Here is a 24,512-nt window from a genome sequence, read left to right as displayed (position 1 = left end):
ACAGTGTCTGCCTCTGATTTGGTTGGGGGTAGCATAGGAAATTTTAGTTTTATCTGCTGGTAAAGTTTAAAACAAAAAAACACTTCTGACCTCAGAAAACAAGTATCTTTTTTTTTTTCTTTCAAAGAAAAAAATCCTTTGGTCAACTTTTGCTTAGGGTCACATTTATATCATTTATTTCCTGGCTTCAAGGATGGAGGGTGTCCAACATCACAGGCTGTTCAGCTACAACATGGGGATTTAGCCAAGTTATCTTATGCTGAAGTCCTCATACCTCTACTCTCCTTTTAAGAAATCTTAATTTTTATGTTGAATTTACTGATTTAAAATGTTAACACTGAATAAAACTAAACTACAATGAACTAAAACTAAATTATAAATGCATTTAAAATCCTTTCTCTTTATTATAATGCTACTGTAAGATTAATAAGATCAAGGTCCTTATATTTAAGACAGAAGTAGATAAAGTAGGGGTGCAAGGGCAAATATAAATTAAAAATAAAACGTTCAATTCTCCCTGTTGAAATGAAAAACATTTCCCTCCCTTTTTCTTAGAGCATTTACTTTAGAAAAATTATAATTGGAAATACGTTTCTCTTTCTTTGAAATGTATATAATATATTCTTTTGAAAACAAAATAGGCCTTCTGCCAGCTTTATGACTCAGGAATGTCTTTCTCAAGGACCTGGGAGCCATCTCTTTGAAATGTAAATATCAAGGGAGATAGCATCCTGCCTCCCAGTTTCTGTGGCAGGGTAGGAACTTGACTTCATGGGCACCTTGCTCCAAGATGTAAAACTAACTTCTGTCCTAAAGATAGAAGTTTCTTTTTCTCCTATGAATGAGGCCAATTAGCTAACATGATGGTCATCCCAATTACCACAGTAAAGGTAGGGTAAGCTATGTGTGACAAAGGTGCTTTGAAGTCTTCTTACTTGAGGACTTACTGTTTGTCACGTGAACATGCATGTAATGGGTTGAATAGGCTGTAATGTATAAAGGGGTGAGGGTCTTTTGTCTTTTCAATCTCTTAGATGTACATCACAATCTGGTTTAATGCTTATTTAATAATGAAAATATTTTCTTTCTGTGCTATTTTTGTAAAGAGGATTCCTGGGTTGGGAGATTTTGTTTTTAATTATCATTCCCCAACAAAGGTAATTATCTAAAATCTTTTCCATTTAGTTCTAAGAAGCTCTGAACTTATATTTAAATAAATATTTACACATACATGGGAGATATCTGACATTCTGGAATATAAGAAGAATTTAATAATGACTGTAAACGTTCAAATCCAAAATCCACAGCTTCAAAATGACCCACTTTCCCCAATCTTAACTCCATATAAAACTATCCCCTGAGCCATTCACTTCTGAGATAGGTATCATACTATTACAATGAGCAAGAATGTATGCACACAAAGGAAATGAAATCAGTATATTGATGAGATATGTTCACTGCAGCATTATTCACAATAGCCAACTTATGCAATCAATCTAAATTATCTGTCAAGAGATGAATGAAGAAAATGTTGTGTATATATACACAATGAAATATTATTCAGCCTTAAAAAGGAAATCCTGTCATTCGTGATAGTATGGATAAACCTGGGCAAATACCACATAATCTAACTTGTATAGTACATGTAGAATCTAAAAAAAGTCAGACTCATAGAAACAGCATAGAACTGTGATTACCAGGAGGATTAGCTGGGGAAACTGAAGGGGAGGGAGGGAGATGTGGGTCAAAGGGTACCAAGTTTTAGTTACGATGAATAAGTTGTAGAGATCCACTGTACATCATGGTGACAACAGTTAATAACAACATATTGTATACTTGAAAACTACTAACAGAGTAGATCTTAAATGTTTTCACCACAAAAAATGGTATGTATGCAAGATGATGGATACGTTAATTAGCCTGACTTAATTATTTACGTACCCATATAGTAAAACATCAGCTTGTATACTGTAAATATATATAATTTTTATGTATCAAAGGAGGCAACCCCACTGTCACTTTGATTTTGAACATTTAGCTGCAGAAGCATGAAAGAATACATTTATGTGGTTTTAAAAAAATGAATGAATGCACACACAAAGCTACCCTAGAAAGGCAGGACAAAAGAAAGAATTGTGTGCAGCACTGGAAGCTCTTTTCTGAGATGCCCGTCAAATAGACCATTCGGCTAACTGAACTGACAGACAAAATGTTTCTAAAATTTGAATCTACACACCCACTCGATGAGGAAGGGTGGAGGACCAGAGGCCACAGGCATATTTTCAGGTGTACGTTTTCTGCAAAACATTTTAATACAGTGTTTTTATTTGTATAGTGATAAACTCTAAGTCACTCTAATCACACCATATGTTTGAAGGGTGTCATACAGTTTCAAGGTCTATATTTGAGTTTGTGTTTATAAGTCCCTAAGATACTTAAGCAAATGTTAAATGTTGTGCTGGAGGGACCTTTCCATCTACCACTCTATCTGGTTTGACTGTCAGTCACCCAACTGGTCAAAGAAGAAGTGTCATGTGTTTCCAAGTGGCCCATGAGAGTGGTGTCATTGGGAATAAAATTCCTTATGCTTATAGATAAACCAGCAAACAAAAATTTTACAATATAAGATATATACATGTAATATATATATATAAAAACTTACAAAACAATCACTTAAGATACAGTGATTTTTTTTTCCTCCCACAAAGGAATGAGCTGGTCTTTCCCTTCCCTTTTATATGAAAGCTATCAAGAAAGATTACAGCACTGAAAAGGTATGTGAAATCTGGCCCACAAAAGCCATTTTCAATGATCACATAATGGAGGATGCCCTTAAAGGATGGGCCAAAACCTAGGAGAGCATCACTGAATGAAGACCAGGACATGAGAGGCCTGACAGTACTGTTTGAACCTTTACATGAAGCCCAGTCAGGAGAACATATAATTTATCTTCAAAGTAGGGACTTTTGAGAGTTAAAGTGGACACAAGCTCAACTGGACTGACCTGGGCCAAGCAGGAAATATATCACTCTAGTCGTAACTGCAGACAAATCCACCTTGATTTCCCAGCTATGAGAGCCAGGTATGAGGTTGCTTTCTGTCACACTGACCCAAAGAGTCTTGACTACCCCTGTGCCAAGTAGTAATACTTTAATTATCTTGAGCTAATGAGGGAAAAACAAAGGAGGTTAATGAGGCATCTGTACCAAGTGAAGGCCAAATAAACACTGCATGCTGCACAAAAGAAAGCTACAGAATTTTAGGTAGAAAAAGATGTGGGAAAATTTGACATTATACAGCCCTTTGCAGAAGAGGTATGCCAAATCAAAAGAATCATATCGCAAGTGCAATTTATTGTGGCTAACATACCATTACTTCTTATACTAACTTCACATTTACACTTTATATACACACACACACACACACACACACACACTTTATAAGAATGTTCTGTTTTATAGTTCATGTAAGACCTATAAGGGTAAGAAATTTTACTTCCTATGACAATTATACATACACATTTATGAAAATAATTTAGAACCACACAGGAAGAGGATGTTTTTCTTCATCAGGAAATCATATACTGCTTTGTCTAAAGCTCAAGTCTAATTGCGCTCATGTTTTTGCTAAGCTGTTTTCTATTAAGGACTGGCAAATAATTAACATATACAAACTTTTTCAACATTTCCTATGCCAAGCTGCAATTCTTCATGGGCCTCTCTCACATTTGTGAGCGGAGTCACAGACTACCTATTCCTATCTTTTCAAGGATATTTGCAGAGACAAGAAGATACAGATAATGTCTCCTTCTACGGCAAAAAATAGGTTTACTGTCCAGTATAATAAAGGTAATATATCCTCTGGGACAGAGGTCAGACACTGACTTATTTTTAAAAAATTGTGATCCCTAAGGTCAGGGTTCCTCTACTATAACATAACCCACTTCTTGTGCACCTATCACCTGGCACTGTTCAGGCTGCCCTTATGGACTGGGTAAATCACCACCAGTGCTGATTCTCTGGCATAACTGCTGTATTAAAGTAACTTTTTGTCTCTAACCCAGGAATTTCAGGTCTTTTCACAGTATTTATGAAATGGTGATATGGTAAATTGTTAGCTTGTACGTAGGGGAAAGTCTCAGACACTGAATAATTTCTGACAAACTGTTCTGCTTAATTTTTAATTAATTCCCAAATTTCTGGCAACTAAGGATACTACACTTCCAGCATCTTTATACCTGAACTACATGTCTTTTTAAAATTCTAGTATTTTTCCTTCCCAAATGGCAGGTAAAACAAGTTTGCCTAATAAGCCAAAGAAATACGTAGAACAGTGGTTCTGAAGCTATGATGGCAGTATCTGCATGACCTGAGGATTTGGTTAGAAATGGACATCTCAGGCCCCATCCAGCGTTTACTGAATCAGAAAGAAACTCTGGAGGTGAGGCGTCCAGTAATCTGTGTTTTAACAATTCCTCCAAGTGATTCTGATGCATGCTAAAGATGGAGAGCCACTAAGAAGAAAAAGAAGAAAAAGGTCACCTCCTTTTTTCTTGATTAGTTATCATAACACAGTCATTAAGTTGCTAACTAGTTATTAAAAAGGAATACACTATTTTAATGGAATAATTATATTTTCCCTTCCCTCCCCAAAATAGTAAGACAAGTAGCACTGTTTTGCATTTCTACAAATAGCACAATAAAAGGCAGCTGGATTCTCATATCTATTCCTGCATTTAATATACTGTAATACATTACACTTTTGTTGAAATATAAGAAGAAAATCCATTTTCACATACTTTAGTTAGAAAAGGGTGGATCATTCAATAACATTTAAGTATAATTATGGATAGTCTTATTCTACATCGTAATTTGAGAAGTGGTAACTTCTTAAAGTTTGATTACAGTGTAGAATCTGAAACGATTTCTATGAAGTTTTCTTATTTTTGTACAGGTATACCTCAGAGATATTACGGGTTCTATTCAAAACCACTGCAGTAAAGAGAATATTGCAATAAATCAATTCATATCAATTTTTTGGTTTCCCAGTGCATATAACAATTATGTTCACACTCTACCATAGTCTATATTAACTATGCAATAGCATGATGTCTAAAAAATGTACATACCTTAATAAAAAATACTTTATTACTAAAAAATGTTAACAATCATCTGACCCTTCAGCGAGTCATCATCTTCTGCTGGAGAAGGGTCCTGCCTCCATGGTGATGGCTGCCAACTGATCAGGGTAGTGTTGGTGAAAGTTGAGGGTGGCTGTGGCAATTTCTTAAAATACAATAATGAAGTCTGCTGCACTGACTGACTCTACCTTTCAAGAAAGATTTTTCTGCAGCATGTGATGCTCTTTGAGTAACACTTTACCCGCAGCAGAACTTCTTTCAAAATTGGATCCAATCCTCTAAAACCCTGCCACTGCTTTATCAACTAAGTTTATTTAAGATTCTAAATCCTTTGTTGTCATTTCAACAATGTTCACAGCATCTTCACCAGGAAAAGACTCCATCTCAAGAAACCATTTTCTTTGTTCATCTACAAGAAGCAATTCCTCTTTCCTTAAAGTTTTATCATGATATTGCATTCACATCTTCAGGCTCCACTTCTAATTCTAGTTCTCTTGTTATTTCCACCACATCTGCAGCTTCTTCCTCTACTGAAGTCCCAAACCCCTCAAAGTCATTCATGAGGGTTAGAATCAACCCAGGCATTCTTTCAAATGCCTGTTAATGTTAATATTCTGGTCTCTTCCCATGAATCACAAATGTTTTTCATGGCATCTAGAATGATTAATCCTTTTCAGAAGGTTTTCAATTTACTTTACTCAGATCTATTAAAGGAATCACTATCTAATGGCAGCTATAGCCTCACAAAATGTGTTTCTCACATAATAACACATGAAAGTTGAAATTACTTCCTGATCATAAGCTGCAGAACAAATACTGTGTTAGAAGGCGTAAAAACAACATTAGGCTGGGCACAGTGGCTCAAACCTATAATCCCCTTGGGAGGCCAAGTCAGGAGAATAGCTTCAGGCCATGAGTACAAGACCAATCTGGACAACATTACAAGACCCCCAACTCTACAAAAAATAAGAATAAAAAACACTGGCCAGGCATTTTGTAGTCCTAGCTACATGGGAGGCTATGGAGGGAGAATCACCTGAGCTCAGGAGTCAAAGGCTGCAGTAAACTATGACCATGCCACAGCACTCCATCCTGGTAACAGAGCAAGATCTTGTCTCTAAAAACAGCAACAACAACAAATTCCTTGTACCTCTCCATCAGTGCTCTTGGATAATGCGGTGCATTGTGAAAGAGCAGAAATATATTGAAAAGAATCTTTATATATGTGCAGTAAGGTCTTAACACTGGGCTTAAGATATTAGGAAAACCACGCTCTAAAAAGATACGCTGGCCGGGCGCGGTGGCTCATGCCTGTAATCCCAGCACTTTGGGAGGCTGAGGCGGGTGGATCACAAGGTGAGGAGATCAAGACCATCCTGGCTAACACGGTGAAACCCCGTCTCTACTAAAAATACAAAAAGTTAACAGGGCATGGTGGTGGGTGCCTGTAGTCCCAGCTACTCGGGAGGCAGAGGCAGGAGAATGGCATGAACCCGGGAGGCGGAGCTTGCAGTGAGCCAAGATTGTGCCACTACACTCCAGCCTGGGCGACAGAGCAAAACTCCATCTCAAAAAAAAAAAAAAAAAAAAAAAAGATATGCTGTCATCCATGCTTTTGTTCTTCCATTTACAGAGCACAGGCACAGCAGACTTAGTATAATTTTTTTTTTTTTTTTTTTTTTGAGACAGAGTCTCCCCTTGTCGCCCAGGCTAGAGTGCGGTGGCGTGATCTCAGCTCACTGCAGCCTCAGCCTCCTGGGTTCAAGAGATTCTCCTGCCTCAGCCTCCCGAGTAGCTGGGATTACAGCCCCTGTCACCACCCCTGGCTAATTTTTATATTTTTAGTAGAGATGGGGGTTTCACCATGTTGGCCAGGCTGGTCTCGAACTCCTGACCTCAGGTGATCTGCCCGCCTTGGCCTCCCAAAAGTGCTGGCATTACAGGCGTGAGCCACCACACCTGGCCAAGAGTTAGTATAATTCTTAAGGGCTCTAGGATATACAGAATGCTAAATGAGCACTGACTTCAGCAGTCACCAGCTGCATTAGCCCCTAACAAGAGAGTAAGTCTGTCCTTTGTAGCTCTGAAGCCAGGCACTGACTTTTCCTCTCTAGCTATGAATGTCCTAGATGAGACTTTCTTCAAATAGAAGGCTGTTTTGCCTACATTGAAAATCTGTTGTTTAGTGTAGTCATCTTCATCAACGATCTTAGCTAGATCTTCCGGATAACCTGCTGCTGCTTCTACATCAGCACTTGCTGCTTTACCTTGCACTTTTATTTTATGGAGATGGCTTCTTTCCTTCAAGCTCCTGAACCTGCAGCTTCCTCACTTCTCTCAACCTTCACGGAACGGAAGAGGTAGGGCCTAGATACGGCTTAGGCTTTGGCTTAAGGGAATGTTGTGGCTAGTTTGATTTTCTATCCAGACCACTAAAACTTTCTCCATGTCAGCAATAAGGCTGTTTCACTTTATCATTCGTGTGTCCATTGCAGTAGCACTTTTAATTTCCTTCAAGAACTTTTCCTTTACATTCACAACTTGGCTAAATGTTTGGTGCAAGAGGACTAGCATTCAGCCTATCTCAGGTGCAACAGCACTAGCATTTAGCCTATCTTTGGACATGACTTCCTCACTAAGCTTAATCATTTCTAGCTTTTGACTTAAACTGAGAGACTTGTGACTCTTCCTTTCCTTTGAACACTTAGAGGCCACTCTGCAGGGTTAGTAATAAGCCTAATTTCAATATTCCTGTGTCTCAGGAAATAGGGAGGTTTGAGGAGAGGTAGAGATATGAGAGAACAGCCAGTCCAGTGAAGCAATGAGAACACATATATTTATTAAGTTCTTTGTCTTATGTGGGCAGAGTTTATGGCACTCTAAAACAATTAGAATAGTAACATCAAAGATCACTGATCCCAGATCACATCTGAAATATTGTAAGAACTACCAAAATGTGACACAGAGATACAAAATGAGCACACATATTAGAAAAATGGTGTTGACAGACTTGCTGGATGCAGGGTGGCCACAAACCTTCAATTTGTTAAAAAAAAAAAAAAAAAGGCAGTATCTGCAAAGTACAATCAAGTGAAGAACAATAATACAAGGTATGCCTGTACATTAAATCCATCGGTCTATCTTGTACTTGGAATGAATCTTTAACCCATGTTTGATTTGGAAATTGGTTAAGTTTTGCAGGACCAAATGTTGATGTCTTTCATTATTTTTATACACACACACACACACACACATAAATATACACATATATATTTTTTAATTTCCTTTTCAAAATTACTCATAATCTCCTCAGAAAAGGATTTCAGTCTTGTGAAGACGCCGAGATGCCAGTAGCAGGAACAAGTTTTTAAATATTTTTATTTTAAAAATTTTATTTGGCTTGAAAGTTCAAATTTTATTGCTGACAACAAATACTGTTAGCTATTTTCCTTGAAGTGAATGGCTAACTCTGCCAATCCCAAGGTGGACTAACCATAGTTTGTCTATCAATTAAAAATGGTTTTCCAAGAAAAGAACTAGTTCAGTTCACAACTCAAACATTCATACAACTGCTTTCCCTCATGATAACCAACCATCATGCTTTGGTATACAGGAGTACTGTAAGTGTATTTCCCATTTGGTCACATGGAATATTAAAGAGATATATATTTATGGCTCAAGGTTTAATGAAAATAATAATACTTTTTGCTTCTTTAGCTTTTTCTTTTATTACAGGTGCACAGTAGTGAAGAATCAATGACTGACTACTAGTACTTGGATCCCTGAATGACATGGGGTAAAGCACCTCAAGACTATTTAAACTTATATTTGTGACATGGGAGAAATAAACATCTGCCTTCCTTAAGCCATGGTCAGGTTCGGTTTATGCGATCCAAGAGCCTGGCTTTTACGCTGACAAATTTTTTAAAAGCAGGCTAGACTTAAATATATAAACAAATATATAAACATGTAAACATAACACATAAAATAAAATAAAAAGCCCCAAAACCTACTTGAAGAAAAAAAGTAAAACCATAAATAAAATATAAAGGCAAACTACAGAATAGGAAAAAATATTTATAATTAATGAGTATCAAACTATAGTTTTCTTTAATACATAATGAACTTACAAGAAAAATACCAATATTCTAAAAAAAAAAAAACAGCAGAAGATACAAAAACTATTCATAGAGGGAAAATAAGCATATATAGTGTATTTTAGAGCTATATATACATATGTTTATTCATAAAAGACAAGTACAAGGGAAAAATTACATTGAAGAAATATTGTTTAAAAAATAAATTTAAAAAAATTAAAACTCAGAACAATGATCTCTGAGTGAAAAAAGTGTTTATACTGGAGTAGTGTGTTTTTACTTCTTGAATGTTTCTGTAATTTCCAAATTTTTACACTAAATCAAAATTATGCGATTTATTTAGAAAAAAATGGTATCTCTATGATTTAAGTTGAATAAAATCATCTTTAATTTCCTTTGCATCTACCCATCTTCCCATCTCATCACTCATATACATAAATCTCACTCCTAGTCGAAGCAAATTACTTTTAACTCTCCAAAGTTTCCTGATAACCCCTACCTCCAATCCTTCCCCACATTTTCTCCCAAGTTGGGCCCCTTATCAACGTGGGCCCTAAAAATGACCACACCACATTTGGGCAGGAGAGCCTCTGGGGTTGATATTTCCCAATCAAGGCACCTCTAATTTTCAGACAGTGTGGTAACTGAGTTGACAGACACTGGGATGTTACATGGACCAATATAGCGTAGGAGAGACGACCAAGACTTAGTAAAAGACTGAGGACTGCACTTAGAGGGAACTCAAGCAGGTAAGCTCCAAGCAAGCTATGAGTTATAGCACCAGATATTTCATTTGTGATGCCAGGAATACCAGGAAGCCATCACCTCTGAGACTAGGGAGGCACAGAACATCACATCTATGCGATCAGACAATTCCTGCTACAATGAGTTTAAGCCACTCTTCCCTCCCTTCCCACCCACCTGCTGTCCCCCACACCAATTGGGGAGCATAGCAGAAGGGGAGCATGGCAAGTGATGAAACATTTTTATCTGAACACTATATAAGTGGACTTTTAAAATTATCAGACAGGACTAAGGCTTAAGCATTTTGCAGTTTTGGGACATTCTCTAGTTTTTCCCTACTTATCAGAATATAGGGGCTCAGGAGGAGGTAGGCTGTGTACAGGATAAATTAAAATAACTTTTTTTTACTTGACATCTAAGCTATAGTCCAAATTAATTACTCTAATCCTACTAAAACATACGTAACAGGTTTCTAAGCATAATTTAAAAGTATATTTAGACAAGATATAAAAGACATATATTTTTGTGCTGTCATCTTCATGAGATGGCTTCCACCTCAGATGTAAGATATCTGTTCATGATCCCACCTGTACATGAACCCTGCAGTCAGCAGGAGGGAGAAAACAAGTACGGGAAGTGGAGGAGGTGTCCTTTCACCTTAAGGGCACAATCCAGAAGTGGTACCAGTACCCATCAGTTCCATTCACATCCTCATAGGCAGAAGCTTGTCTTCTGGCCTCATTTTGCTTCAAGAAAGGCTAGGAAATACAGTCACTAACTGTGTGGCCATGTGCCCAGAAAACAGATGCTGAAGGACACTGGTTATTGGGGGGATAACTGGCAGTCTCTGTCACACTCCATAAACCTACTCTTTCCTTTACCCTCGGTTCCATCTTTACGTTTTAAAAAACTTCTAATATTATGCAAATAAACATGCAAGATGAAAGTTTTTTAAAAAAAATTTGTTTTGGTTTTCCTCGTGAAAACTAAGGTGAATGCCACGGAAAGAAAATAAGTAAGGCAAGCTGCTAAAAAATGCCGCTGAACAGGTAAAAAGGTGAGATAATTCTTAAGTACGGAGGAAAAAGGATGTTACAATCTGGAAGGATTCTTCATTCACGTTGCTTTGCAAGTATCTTTAAATTCTCACTTGAAAGAAACAGAAACTGGAAATGAGTACATTTTGGTTATGTGAAAAAGACAACTCTGAACAATACTTCAAGAAAAAAAAGGTCATGACTCTACATCAAAAGATTGCTGAATAGAAGCATATGTTTTTGACTAAAATAAATACTCAAGGTATGCTGGCAATTTTTATTTTGTTTTTAGAAGTTCCCTTAAGACAGGTTGGTTTGACAGACAAAATCTGATCCCATGAGACAAAGGAAACTTCCCTCTGCATATTAACATATTCAAAACTTAACTACCTTCAGCTCCCAAATTGCATATTCCTTACAGAACTCTTTTTCTAAAATGTTTAAATCTGTAACAACTTTTTAATGCAAACTTCTTAGCATGGCATTCCAGGCATTTCTAGAACTGGACCCAAAGACCTTTCAGCCTCACCTCTTTTTACGAACCTCCAACTATTCACTAGCCATAGAAATCTTTCAAAATGAACTATTTCATAGACATAGCCAGGACAACGTTAAGAAATCTAGTCAAAGTTAAATAACATGTAGGTCCTAATTCCAAAAAGCTCAGATTACAAGAAAATGACAGTAAAAGATTACAGAAAGGCTGATACAAATAAAATGTGTACAAGTTCATATAATCCTAAAAGTACAAGTACTATTATACTTTTCACTGGACCACTATTCTTTCAAATATCATTTTTAAAGACATTTTTCCAGGAAGGGCACACAAATAGGATTATATACAGAGATGTGGTGTACAAAACAAACTATTTCATTTGAAGAAAAGCTGAGGGAGGAAGGAATGTTTAGAAGGAAAAAAGACTAGTGTAAATAAGATGTCTGATAAATAACTGAAGAGCCCTCCTATGAAAGAGAAGTCATACTGTGTAACTAAGACACTGAAATTTAAAATCAAAAACAGAAGTTATACAGAAGCAAATTTGGTTCCGGAAAAGATATAATCTAATAATCTGATGCCAGAATCTATCAAAGTACATCATCTGTCAATAGGATTGTTTCGCCCTGCACCCTAGTTTTCTATAATACTATGGGAAGCATACAGTTTCGCTAGATGCCATTTTACATCAAGATGTAAATTAAAATAAACATCAATAATAAAAGATGACGTTGTCTTCATACATTCTGGCCATAGCCAGTTTCTGCAAGGGTCAAAGTCCAGTGGAGATCAATAAAAGACAAGCCTTCAATATTTTTCTTCGTCAGCTGTCTTTGCCAGACAAGAGTGAGTCTAACAATGATAAATGATGGTGCAGCCTTCACTAAATCCCTGCACTATTTCACACGCATTGACACACAGAGACCTAAAGTTTACAAAGAAGAACATAGAAAAAAATCTTGAGGAAACACCCAATAAATTAATAAATTTTTTACAAGGATTTTTTAATGAGGATAAATACATCAAATTTATCATTGCCTATAAATTGGCAAGTAAATACTAATCAGAAAAGGCGTACGTAGGTAAACAGGCATCACATCATAATTTTAATCTGATGAGCTGTAAGAGAAGGAACTATTTGGTCCTAATTTAACAATATACTTTAGTTTCTAGTTGAATCAGTTGCTCTAGGACTAAGAGAACCAGAAGTAATGAACCTCAACTGTAAACTGAATTTTCTTTTCCAAACTGTCTTTACTAAAGCCATAATATATTTACTGTAAAATGCACTGATTTTAGTGATGTCAAATGTGAAAAATGTCTATCTTAGAATTAATGAAATACACTATGTCCCTTTGATCCATCATCACTAATGGAGCAAACTGCCAGGTTAGAGTTTCTAATATGGTTTGGGTCTGTGTCCCCAGCCAAATCTCATGACAAATTGTAATCCCTAATGTTGGAAGTGGAGCTGGTGGAAGGTGACTGCATCATGGGGGTAGATTTCCCCTTTGGTGCTGTTCTGGTGATAGTGAGTGAGTTATCTGAGATCTGGTTTCTTACAAGTATATATCACCTCCCGCCTCTCTCTTCCTCCTACTCCAGTCATGCAAGACATACCTGCTTCCCCTTCGTGTTCTACCATAACTGAAAGTTTCCTGATGCCTCCCAGCCATGCTTCTTGTACTGCCTGCAGAACTGTGAGCCAATTAAAACTCTTTTCTTTATAAACTACCCAGTCTCAGGTATTTCTTGATAGCAGTGCAGGAATGGACTAATAAGGCCTCCATTAGGGATTTTGTACACTTGAGTTTTCAGAGAGGTTAATAAACATGAAAAGATGATCAATAACATTAGTCATCAGGGAAATGGAAATCAAAACCACAATAAAGGTACTACTTCACACCCACTAGGATGGCCATAATAAAAAGGTAGACAATCCAAGTATTGCTGAAATGTAGAAGAATTATGGAATCTTCATACACTGCTTGCTAGGAATGTAAATGGTACAACCACTTTGGAAAACACTCTGGCATTTATTCAAAAGGTTAAACACTCAATCCTACATACATACACAACAAAAATGAAATATACTCACAGGCAAAAAGTTGTACATGAATGTTTATAGCAGCATCATAATAGCAAAATGGTGGAAACAAGACAACTGTCCATCAACGGATAAAGAGGTAAACAATGTAGCCCGTCTGTACAATGGAATTACTCAGCTATGAAAAAGAACAAAGTACTGATACATGTGACAATGTAGAGGAACCTTATGAACATTATTATGCTCAGTGAAAGAATCCAAAGATCGTATTATATGATTCCATTTATACGAAATGTCCAGAAATGTCAAATCTATAGAGACAGAACGTAGACCAGTGGTTGAGTAAGGGTGTGGGTTTTGTGGGAAATGAGAAGTGACTGGTAAAGGTCATGAAATTTTTGGTGGTAATATAAATATTCCAAAATTGATTATGGTAATGGCTGCACGACATTATGCCTAAACTTGAAAATTATGGAAATATACTTTAATGATTTTTGGTGAATTATATCTCAATAAAACTGTCTTTAAAAGTTAATAAAATTTGGTAATCAATAATCAACAAGATAATTTGGGAATGACACTTAAAAACCTGATTATAGACATTTCAATGACTTCCCTTCCATGAAGTCATCCTGAAACACTAACACCTGGTTACTTGCTAAGAGCAAACTGTTCCTAAATGGAACCTTCATTCCACCTCCTCTTCTATTGTGTAGCATTTCTGAATACACAATTTGCTGAAAGACTACTGATTTTATATAAAATAGAAGTCCAAAGATTTTACCTAATAGATAGGGGTGGTGTTTGATATGAGAAAATGATACATGTCTATTACTTTAAAATGATACTAGAAATACAAAAGGATTCCCTCAGGAGGAAATTTTAGCCTATAAGTCTCCAACTTGCAAACGTTAAAAGGTTTTAGGCCTTTTAACAGTCACAACAGAACTTTATTAAAGAGAGCAGAGGCAAGTGGATGGAAAACCACCGCAAAAGCCACGTGTAGACTACGGAATCTAACTACAATTGTCATCTGTCAAGACACAGTTCTTACCCCCTATTTTAAATCTAAGAACATTTTAAAGGGGAAAATCATAGTTTATGACAAAATCAAAAGAATCAGGGACAGAAGTACAGAAAGAAGAGTAATTAGAATATTATTAGTTACATTTAAGGGACAGAACAAGCAACATTAAAGAAACAAAATGAAGCGTAAGTTTCTGGCAACAGAGGCAATATATAGGTCCTGTAACATAAAAAGACAGTCAACCTAACATCATCAAAAAGAAAAACCTGTAATAAAATATTTTTAGTCAAACCAGTAGGGTAAATTTTTAGAAACGTAGGATAGTGGTTGTCAGGAGCTGGGAATGAAGAAGCAATGGGGATTTATTATTTAATTGGTAAAGAGTTTTAATTTGGGATGATGTAGAAGTCCCAGAGATGGACACTGGTGATGGTGAACAACAATGTGACTGTACTTAATGCCACTGAACTGTACACTTAAAAATAATTGGCCAGGCGCGGTGGCTCACGCCTGTAATCCCAGCACTTTGGGAGGCCAAGGCAGGCAGATCACAAGGTCAGATCGAGACCATCCTGGCTAACACGGTGAAACCCTGACTCTACTAAAAATACAAAAATTAGCCGGGCGTGGTGGCGGGCACCTGTAGTCCCAGCTACTCGGGAGGCTGAGGCAGGAGAATGGTGTGAACCCAGGAGGCGGAGCTTGCAGTGAGCCGAGATCGTGCCACTGCACTCCAGCCTAGGTGACAAAGTGAGACTCTGTCTCAAAAATAAATAAATAAATAAATAAAATAATTAAAATGGTGAATATTATGTATATTTTGTCGGAATTTTTAAGTGAATCAGATGTTCTAGTTATGGCCTTTGTATGCATGGGGGGGCTTGTTTCTAATACATTTCACAGTAATCTTTTAAAAACCGAGTAAATGAGTAAAAAGAGGGTTAAGTACATGACTAGAGATTTCTAGAGCACCTGTCAAATGCCATTTCTTGTATATTCTCTAGTCTGAGGCAGCACCTAGGGCTTCAAGTTGCAAGTTGAAGTTCTCATGGAGTCAGCTAAGGGCAATGATTCTCAAAAAGGATAGCGCTAGCCCAGGAACAGTTTAATGGGAATTTGTGGGAACATTTTTGGTCATTGGTGTGGTTGGGTATACTACTGTGATATACAGAAGAATCCCATCAACAGAGTACTTTCCATGTCCTGCACAATTTGCTAATGACCTATATTTTGTTGGTGAAAAATCGTAACTTTATAATATCTGAATCTACTACCTAATTCAATTTTCCACATAAACACAAAGACTTTTTTTGCATGATTTTGATATGTGTTGACTTTTTCCAGCAATGCAACTACTGCATAAAAGAGAGAAGACTGTAATCCTTGTCATTTGGAAATTTCAGTAAAGTTGAACACCATTTCTGCATGCCATATTCTCAATGGCACATCTATTGCAGTTTGCATGTACAGTGAACTATAAATGATTCTATATAAGGAAACAAGCATCCAACTTTTATAAAGACACAGTTGTGGCTGAGCATTTACATACTGAAAAACGGGATAAATTACTTTTATTTCTCTAATATATTGCAGATGGGCATATTATAGTGGTTTTTAGTAAATATATGAAAATAGGTTACTATTATCTACAAATTTTGTTTCGGAATATTATAGGGGGCATTAAAATTATATTACAAAAGTGAGCATCGGGTCTGGCAGGATGGGAGCTACTACTCCAGGTGAAGTAAAATACGAAAATCTTTTCCTTTGCCAGACTTCTGACTCCATCTTCACTTTTGTGACACTGACCACCATCTTAAGCACAGAAAAGTGAACCTAACTGCATACGCCTCCTGCTATACATACTACAGACGCTACAAATGTCTACATTCCACATAATGCTGAGCATTGCAAGGAAAAACTTTCTTGTCTTTCTTCCATGCATCCATGTGCAGTGTTCGAGTCTGGATGTCCATTAGTCAGAGATGTAGAAAAAGGTCATTCTTATCTTAGCTGTGAGGCTGAAGGGGTAACTCCAAGTTTCTTTCCAACTCTAAGAAGTCTATGAAACCACCAATGGTTCTCAGGTGACCTTAGCTTCTTAAACACTACCAGGAAATGGCAATCCATTAACCCACTCACTCTCACTGGCTATTATTTATAATGATGACAGTCACCTCATCAGCTCTCACAGGCTGTTTGACATCTCAGGTAATATACTCTAATCATGACAAATAAGCCTCAAATGACAAAAGTGCTTTATACATCTTGTCAACTTATAAATCTAAAGACTAAAAAGGGAAGAGCACCTGGAACCTGCTTGGGAAGCTGCAGCAAATCATTTTTAAGAACCACAGGTATACACATGTATTACATGTAGAAGATTCATTTGTAACATTTCATCCCCAATCTATGACAGTAGTATTAGTGAGAGGTGGGAGATATCAAACTGAAAGTAACTTTATAAATATAGATATTATTGCCAAAGCACCCATGTCATTTTAAGGGACTAAAAGTAAATTATCACATGTAGAGTTAAATAAACAACATTAGAATATAAATTGAATGTGAGTAATCCTAAAATCAACTTAGAATATTAATATCAGTATGTAAATGGAACTAAGAGGCTCTCCAGTTCCTCCAACTATCTTCTAAACACATTTATATTCAAGCAAAGGAAAACTGTTTATGTCTACTTTATGATTATTTGTAAGAATAATGTATCAATCTATTTTGCTAAAATGAGAACAATCTAAAGAAATAGTAACCCCCTCTGTTTTTTTAAACAATTTCGAAATTCTGTTTTCTCCAACAATCAAATTATTATCCAACTCTACTTTCTGGAAGACTGCATGTCTATGAGCACTCATATCACAATTACATGTTTCTACCTATGTTTCCAATACAAGGATGAAAGATTCCCCAGTGCAAAGAATGAAATATTTTTGTCCTTATATGCTCACTGCTTAGCATAATGCCTAGTGAATGGTAGTAAGCAAAATGTAATCTGTTGTTAATGCATAAAAATAATAATCTTTATAGCTCTTACTATGTGACAAACACTATGCTAAGGATTCTGTATTTATTTTTCCAGCAATCTAAACAAGCACTGTGCCATTACCATGCTAGACTATAAATGGTAAAACTGAGGTTTAATAAACAAAGATTAAGCAAATTGCCCAAAATCCCTATTTGTAAGCTGAGATCTAGGAGTCCAAGGTTTTATATTAATATACCCTCTCTGTATTTAGTTCTCAACGAAGTAAAAGTAACAAAGATCAAACGAGATAATATTGTCCAAATGGTACAGTAACTGCTATCAAAGTATTTTACATATTAACCTTGATTTTTTATCTATGATTTATTTCCAAATCAGAAATTTTGAGAGATTATATTCTCAAATAGCATTTGTTCTTTGGTAATCTAGTTTTTAAAAACTATTATACTAAAAACTACTTCTAGTTACAGAATATGTTAACTAAAAGAACTAGAAATAAAGTGCTTGAATGAAAAAATAAAAATAAATGCACAGTATGTTCAATTTCACAAGAGAAAGAGAAAACATTCTGCCAAAACTCTGAAGGTAAACTGAAAATAAAGACTGTCTTTAAAAATAATTTATCAAATATCTCATGTTTTTTAAATAACTGAAATACCACATAAAGCATCTGTATTTTACATAAACATACAAAGTGGAGTTTTATTTTTACACTAGGATAGTATATTAAACTGCAGGGTCACCCTTCCATTAGCAGATTCATGATGGAATGTTAACAGCCCTTTAAATGACAAAGAAAGAACAAAAGTGAATCTAATGCAACAGATCTCTAGCTGTGGAGTGAGATCTGTGAAAAGACAAAGTCACTGAGCAAGAAAGGACTTGAAAGGTCACCTAATATCTCTTTTAGCCTTTGGGAGCACTGTACAACATTACTGAGAGATGAAAATTGATGTTATTTTTAGAGATTTAAGAGGGGAGAGGAATCACAACTTCTACCAAAAAGTCCCTCCAGAGATGAACAATATTCAGAATCATAAAACTCCTATTAATACTCAATATACATCCCTTAATAATGCAGCCTAAATCAATTCCCTTCAGTTCGGTCTTGGTGGAACATACAAAAGAGCTGGCTACTACAATACATCCTCACATATAAAGTCTGAGCTTTCTCTTTTTTGGAGACAAATAATGTCATCTTTAGCTTTTTCTCATAGGCGTATTTTCTAACTTTTCATATATCCTTTTTTCCAATGCCTCTCCATTGCTATTAAAAAGGTCGAGTAAAGAAGTAAGTGGTATACTAATGCTCTGAAATGTCAATCAGCTATTATTAAATCATCATTTTTGCTTCTCCAATTACTGGTATCTTTGTAAACTCATCAAAGGAAATTTGAGAAATCATGGAGGATGTTAGAGAAGAGCAGAGATGGATAAATGCCCCAAATTAAAAGAGGCAGTGATAAAATTAGGTAAAGTCTAGAGTCAACTTCTGCCAATTCTGAAGACAACTCATTAAAAAGTAAAATGTGAGTACTCAAAAAGAAAGTGGGGAGGCCAAGGCAGGCAGATCACGAGGTCAGGAGATCAAGACCATCCTGGCTAACACGGTGAAACCCCGTCTCTGCTAAAAATACAAAAAAATTAGCCGGGTGTGGTGGTGGGCGCCTGTAGTCCCAGCTACTAGGGAGGCTATGGCAGGAGAATGGCATAACCCAGGAGGCGGAGCTTGCAGTGAGCCGAGATTACACCACTGCACTCCAGCCTGGGCGACAGAGCAAGACTCCGTCTCAAAAAAAAAGAAAAAAAGGAAAGCAAGAAAAAAAGAAAGCAGCCAGGTGCGGTGGCTTACGCCTGTAATCCCAGCACTTTGGGAGGCCGAGGTGGCAGCTCACGAGGTCAAGAGATGAGACCATCCTGGCCAACACAGTGAAACTCCATCTCTACTAAAAATACAAAAATTAGCTGGATGTGGTGGCGCACACCTGTAGTCCCAGCTACTTGGGAGGCTGAGGCAGAAGAATTGCTTGAACCCAGGAGGTGGAGGTTGCAGTGAGCCAAGATCACGCCACTGCACTCCAGCCTGGTGACAGAGAGAGACTCAGTCCCCACAAAAAAAAAAAAAAAAAAAAAGAAAGCACCAGTTTGACAAAGAAGCCTGGTGACAGAGAGAGACTCGGTCCCCCCACCAAAAAAAAAAAAAAAAGAAAGCACCAGTTTGACAAAGCAGCATAGATTCACTAAAAAAGGTCAGTTCTGTTTTGATAAGACTATTAGACACAAGAAAAAAGGCATGGACCATATCTGAGGCCTAGAGCAGTGTAATCTCAGTGATGCTTTTACAATATGCCGCATGATATTCTTATGTTCAATACAAGAATACAAGGCTGGCCTCCAGTTTACGTAGGTTTGCACCTTGTGGGGCAACTCTAAAGAATACTGATTAATGAATTAGTATCAACATGTGGATTATATGCAACAGAATTCATACTCTGACTATGAGGTAGGCAAAAAGACAAAAGGAAAACTACTGTCTCTAAATATCTCAAAATTCAACAATAATGGGCTAAAACTATCTTCACATATGTTTAATTTAATGTAAAACACAGAACTTGGACTCAAAATGCTCAGTTTCTCAAATATGTGTTACTGGTTTGAGCTAAGTAGTTATGTAAGTGAATTTCAGTTGAATATAATTAATGTGCCAACAGTGAAGAGTTCGCTAAACACACAATGGAGTGATGGAGAATCTACTACGAACAGACCATCTTATTAAGAGGACATGTAGAGATCAAGCAAGGTGTAAGAACTCATTACTGTTCAGAAGACACCTGCATTTGGTAAACAGGTATGAACCTACCCACAGAAGGGCTAGTAGTATGCATGCTGAGGTGTAGGATAAAGATGATTACAAAAGTAAAATTATGTAGCTTAAATAAAATATTGAGGGGTCCTGGGGGATAGGGACCATTCTGTATTTCAATGTATTTCAAACATGTAAAACCTTCAGATGCTATATAAAAGAGAACTGACACATATACTGCCAGAGGAAATCAACACAAGTCCCAGATAGACAGATGAAACCCAGGGGTGTCAGCCTCCCTTGGGTGTCTCAGCAAGTCCTCTAAGTCTTCCTTGAATCTATCATCAGTACTTGGCCACATTCCCTAAAACAAACCCAGTTTTACAAATTATTTTTTAAAGCAAACACTTTAAAGATTTTGTGGGAAGACAAGAATAAGATTAACATCAAACAATGCAGAGCAGAAACCTATCAATATTACCCACACACTTCCATTCTTCCTTGCGGTTTCTCTTCACTGAAGGCCACCTCAACTCTCTTAAATCTCTTCCCACAGGATGTCTCAAAACCCATCCATTGTGCTCAGCCACACCAAATCCCAGTGTGTGGCTGAATAAGGACCATTTTATTACTTATCCCAGGTATGTATCTTAACCATCTATTCCCCAACCTCAAGGAGCTGTTCAAAGTATGCCTTCAACCCAAGGAGGGTTTCTTCGTAGGTGGAGAGATTTTCCACTGGTACTGAAATGTTAAGCTCCAAGAACAACTTTCTCTTCGAAAATATAAAGCTGAAAAGAATTCAGCTGATTTTGCTTGTGCAGCAACAAAGCCAAATCGTAAAGATGTAGGATAGTTCTTTTCCTGTTGCTTGTATTAACCTTGCCATACAGCTGTGTACCTTCAGTTTGAGAAGCACATTTCTAGAAGAGTATCTGTTTCTTCATCTATAAAATGAGTAAAATAATACAAACTTCTTCAGTGAGGTGCTGTAGAATTTCATAAAATGCCTTAAAGACCAGGCTAACTACCTGGCACAGGAGCAGATTATCTTAGTCTGGGTTGCTGTAAGAGAGTATCACAGACTGGGTGGCCTAAACAACAAGCACTTATTTCTGATAGTTCTGGAAACTAGAAGTCTCAGATCAAATTGCCAACATGGTCAGGTTCTTGGTGAGGGCCCTCTTCCTGGTTTACAGCCAGTCACTTACTTGCTGAATCCAGACATGATAAAGAGAACTCAAGGTCCCTTCATGCCCATCATGAGGACTCCATTCCATGACCTCATTCCAACCCAATTACCTCCCAAATGCCCCACCTCCAAATGCCATCACACTGTGGGTTAGGGCTTCAACATACAATTTCGGAGGGACACATTCAGTCCACAGCACAGACACTCGATAACTATTAAATAACCTGGTATTTATAGATCCTTTAGGACATAGGGTAGCAAATGGTAAGCACTGTATAAGTATCTACCAGTAAATAAAAAACTGAGCATCTTTCCAGTGACTTTCAATCATACTGTATAATTCCATGATCCAGTAGTTTCAGGGGTAATTTCAGCTTTTTGAAGAGCAGTATAAACCAAGGGATGCTAAAAAAAATCTCTTTGGACTCAACTTCCTATTAGTCTATGATTCAGAGTATTTTGAGTTGTGGAGCTCCCACTTTAGAAACAAGCACAGCATTAACGATAACATTACAGGCTAACACACATTTAAATTTAATAAAAACTAAGAGAGTTTATATTGCACAGCCATAATGCATAATGCACTGCTAAAAATATATGACATTTAAAGAAATTCTTTGTTTGACACAAACAATTATGACACAAACATAATTGAGTGGAAAATTTCACTAGCATGCCCAGTGGTAAAATAGTTGACATTTTTAAAACTCATTCTTTGTGTCAACAACTTCTAACAGATTTCTCTGTAATCACCAGAGCTGTACTCAATTAACTCCTAAAATGCTTATCAAAAAAATACTGTTGCTGATATAAGATTCTAATTTCCTTAACACAAATTAATCTCCAAGTAAATAAGTATGTGCCTTCAATATGCAGCAACAATTTCTCAGATGCTCATGTACCTGACCAGTAAAACAATACGTAAAAGGGTTGTGAGAAACAAATAAGGTAATAATGCAACAGTACTTTATAAACTACAAAGTACTATATAATGAGCTTCTCACAAACCATATCCTTGGAACACTAATATCATGAAGAATCTCAACATCTGTTCTTTGAATACCAGGCTAGGTAGTTTAGTAGGTGTATACTCTACTTTCTTTTTGAGGATTCACAATTCACTTAGTGTATCAAAGATTCAAAAGAGTACTATATTTTAAAAGTCTGTTAACTTACTTCCATTTGGCACTTCTTAGATGTGATTAACTAGGGAGCCACTTGGTTTGTGGAAATTTGGTGTTCTGGAGAAGACTGCAAGATATCGTACTACACAATGCCAACTATTACATTAGTTACCAGGACATTTTTTTTTCTAAAAATTAGAACTAGCACCAAATAATGGAATTAAATGGAAAGAATATAAAAAATATACTTTTTGCCTTCCTTAGGAAATACTCAAATTGTTTTACCAAAATACTCTCCTTAATAAAACAGATTTTTATAATGGTCTGAAGAACATAATGGACTACATCAACAATTCAAAGTAATATTCTTCTAAAAAGTTACAACTGACAAAATCACAACAGATAATACACTGGCAAACAGCTTAAAATGAAGAATTTGATTTGCAAGTGGATATCACAAGTATTCATTTTTAAAACGTAATGAAAATGTTTGCAGACCAAAACCAAAAGGGGCTGAAAGCTGCTTGGTCAATTCCCAAACTTTGACCTATACTGAATTTCTCCTGAATGCTTAATTAATTCCACACCAGAAATACCAGAATACATCCTAGATATATGGAAGCCACCTGCCTAAAATACAAAATTGAGCCTAACAGTTCTTCTCTTACAGAATAATGAATTTTTTAAACACAAACGAGTTATTAAAAGATCACCTGGCTCATTACTCCCATTTTTTTTAGTAACCAAAATGAGGTCCAGAAAATTTACAGAGAAGCTGGGCTCCATGGAATGTTTTGTTTTGTTTTTGTTACCTACAGTCTTCTGACTGCTGCATTAAAAAAAAAAAAAACTGTCTAAAATAACCTAACTTAGAGGAGAGGCTACCTAGAGTATGCAAGTCACTTGTAGAGTGTTGATGTGATACTTACAGAAGCAGACATCTTCCCAGAGAGGCTTTAAGGAAATTGATCCGCAACAGAGTTGCCTCTGAGCACAGATCCTTAAAGCCAAGTAACAGGAGGGATTCCTTTATTTACTGATAGTTAATAAGTGATACAACCAACTCAGAGAGGTCAACGTTACTGCTACATAACCAGTACTAGCAAGTGCCCAATACACTTAACATATATCCCAATACACTTAACATATATCTCTAATCCTCACGCAATCCCTATGAGATGTGTTTTCCATCAATTTCACAGATAAGGAGATTGAGTTCCCCAGAAATCTAGAAATGTGCCACAATCACACTACCAGCGAGGAAGCTGAGATTCAAACTAAATTCAGCCTACTTGAACACTAGACTCTTAATACAATACAAAAAAGTGAAATCAAGAATATCTACCTGGAGAGAACCGCAACTAAAGATTCTCCACCATCCAAACAGGAAACAACGAATATTTTTAAATGTTAGTGTTGTGCTGAATGTTCTCAGCACAAAGAAATAATAAATGTTTAAAGTCATGGATATGCTAATTACCCTGATTCAATCATGTACACAACGTATACATGTATTGAAACATGTTGTACCCCATAATTACATTCAATTATTATGTGTCAATCACACTTTTTTTCAAAAAAAGACAGTAAATGAAAATATTTAAAGTGTCTGCTATGGGCCAACAAGAGTACTGACTGAACTTTAGATGTGCTCACCTAGAAATGAGGCTTTTCTAGACACCTCTCAAGGTGGGGCTACAGGGTATCAATGTACACAGCTTGGATTAAAAACAAAGTACAAGCCTAAGAACTATGTTTCTGAGTATGGTGTCACTTAGCCCAGCCCATCTGGACTTGGACTGAAATA

At 36.6% G+C, this 24,512-nt stretch overlaps 1 protein-coding gene across 2 annotated transcripts in view, besides 1 other annotated feature; it reads right to left on the bottom strand.

The window, feature by feature from the left end:
* GNAI1 (G protein subunit alpha i1) overlaps positions 1–24,512 on the bottom strand; it is a 91,351-nt gene that overhangs the window by 42,423 nt on the left and 24,416 nt on the right. The gene's annotated exons all lie outside the window — the stretch shown is intronic.
* Positions 18,099–18,915: an enhancer, noted in NCBI's record as "OCT4-NANOG-H3K27ac hESC enhancer chr7:79794160-79794976 (GRCh37/hg19 assembly coordinates)". NCBI's record gives its function as "activates a minimal SCP1, AML or CMV promoter by ChIP-STARR-seq in naive H9 embryonic stem cells {active_cell/tissue: H9 hESC(naive)}" and the evidence as "EXISTENCE:reporter gene assay evidence [ECO:0000049][PMID:30033119]".

This window comes from Homo sapiens, chromosome 7, assembly GCF_000001405.40.
Source record: "Homo sapiens chromosome 7, GRCh38.p14 Primary Assembly".
In the NCBI taxonomy this organism is placed as follows: Eukaryota; Metazoa; Chordata; class Mammalia; order Primates; family Hominidae; genus Homo; species Homo sapiens.
Note: the sequence above shows the minus strand (reverse complement) of the source record. Positions and strands in the feature narration are given on the sequence as shown.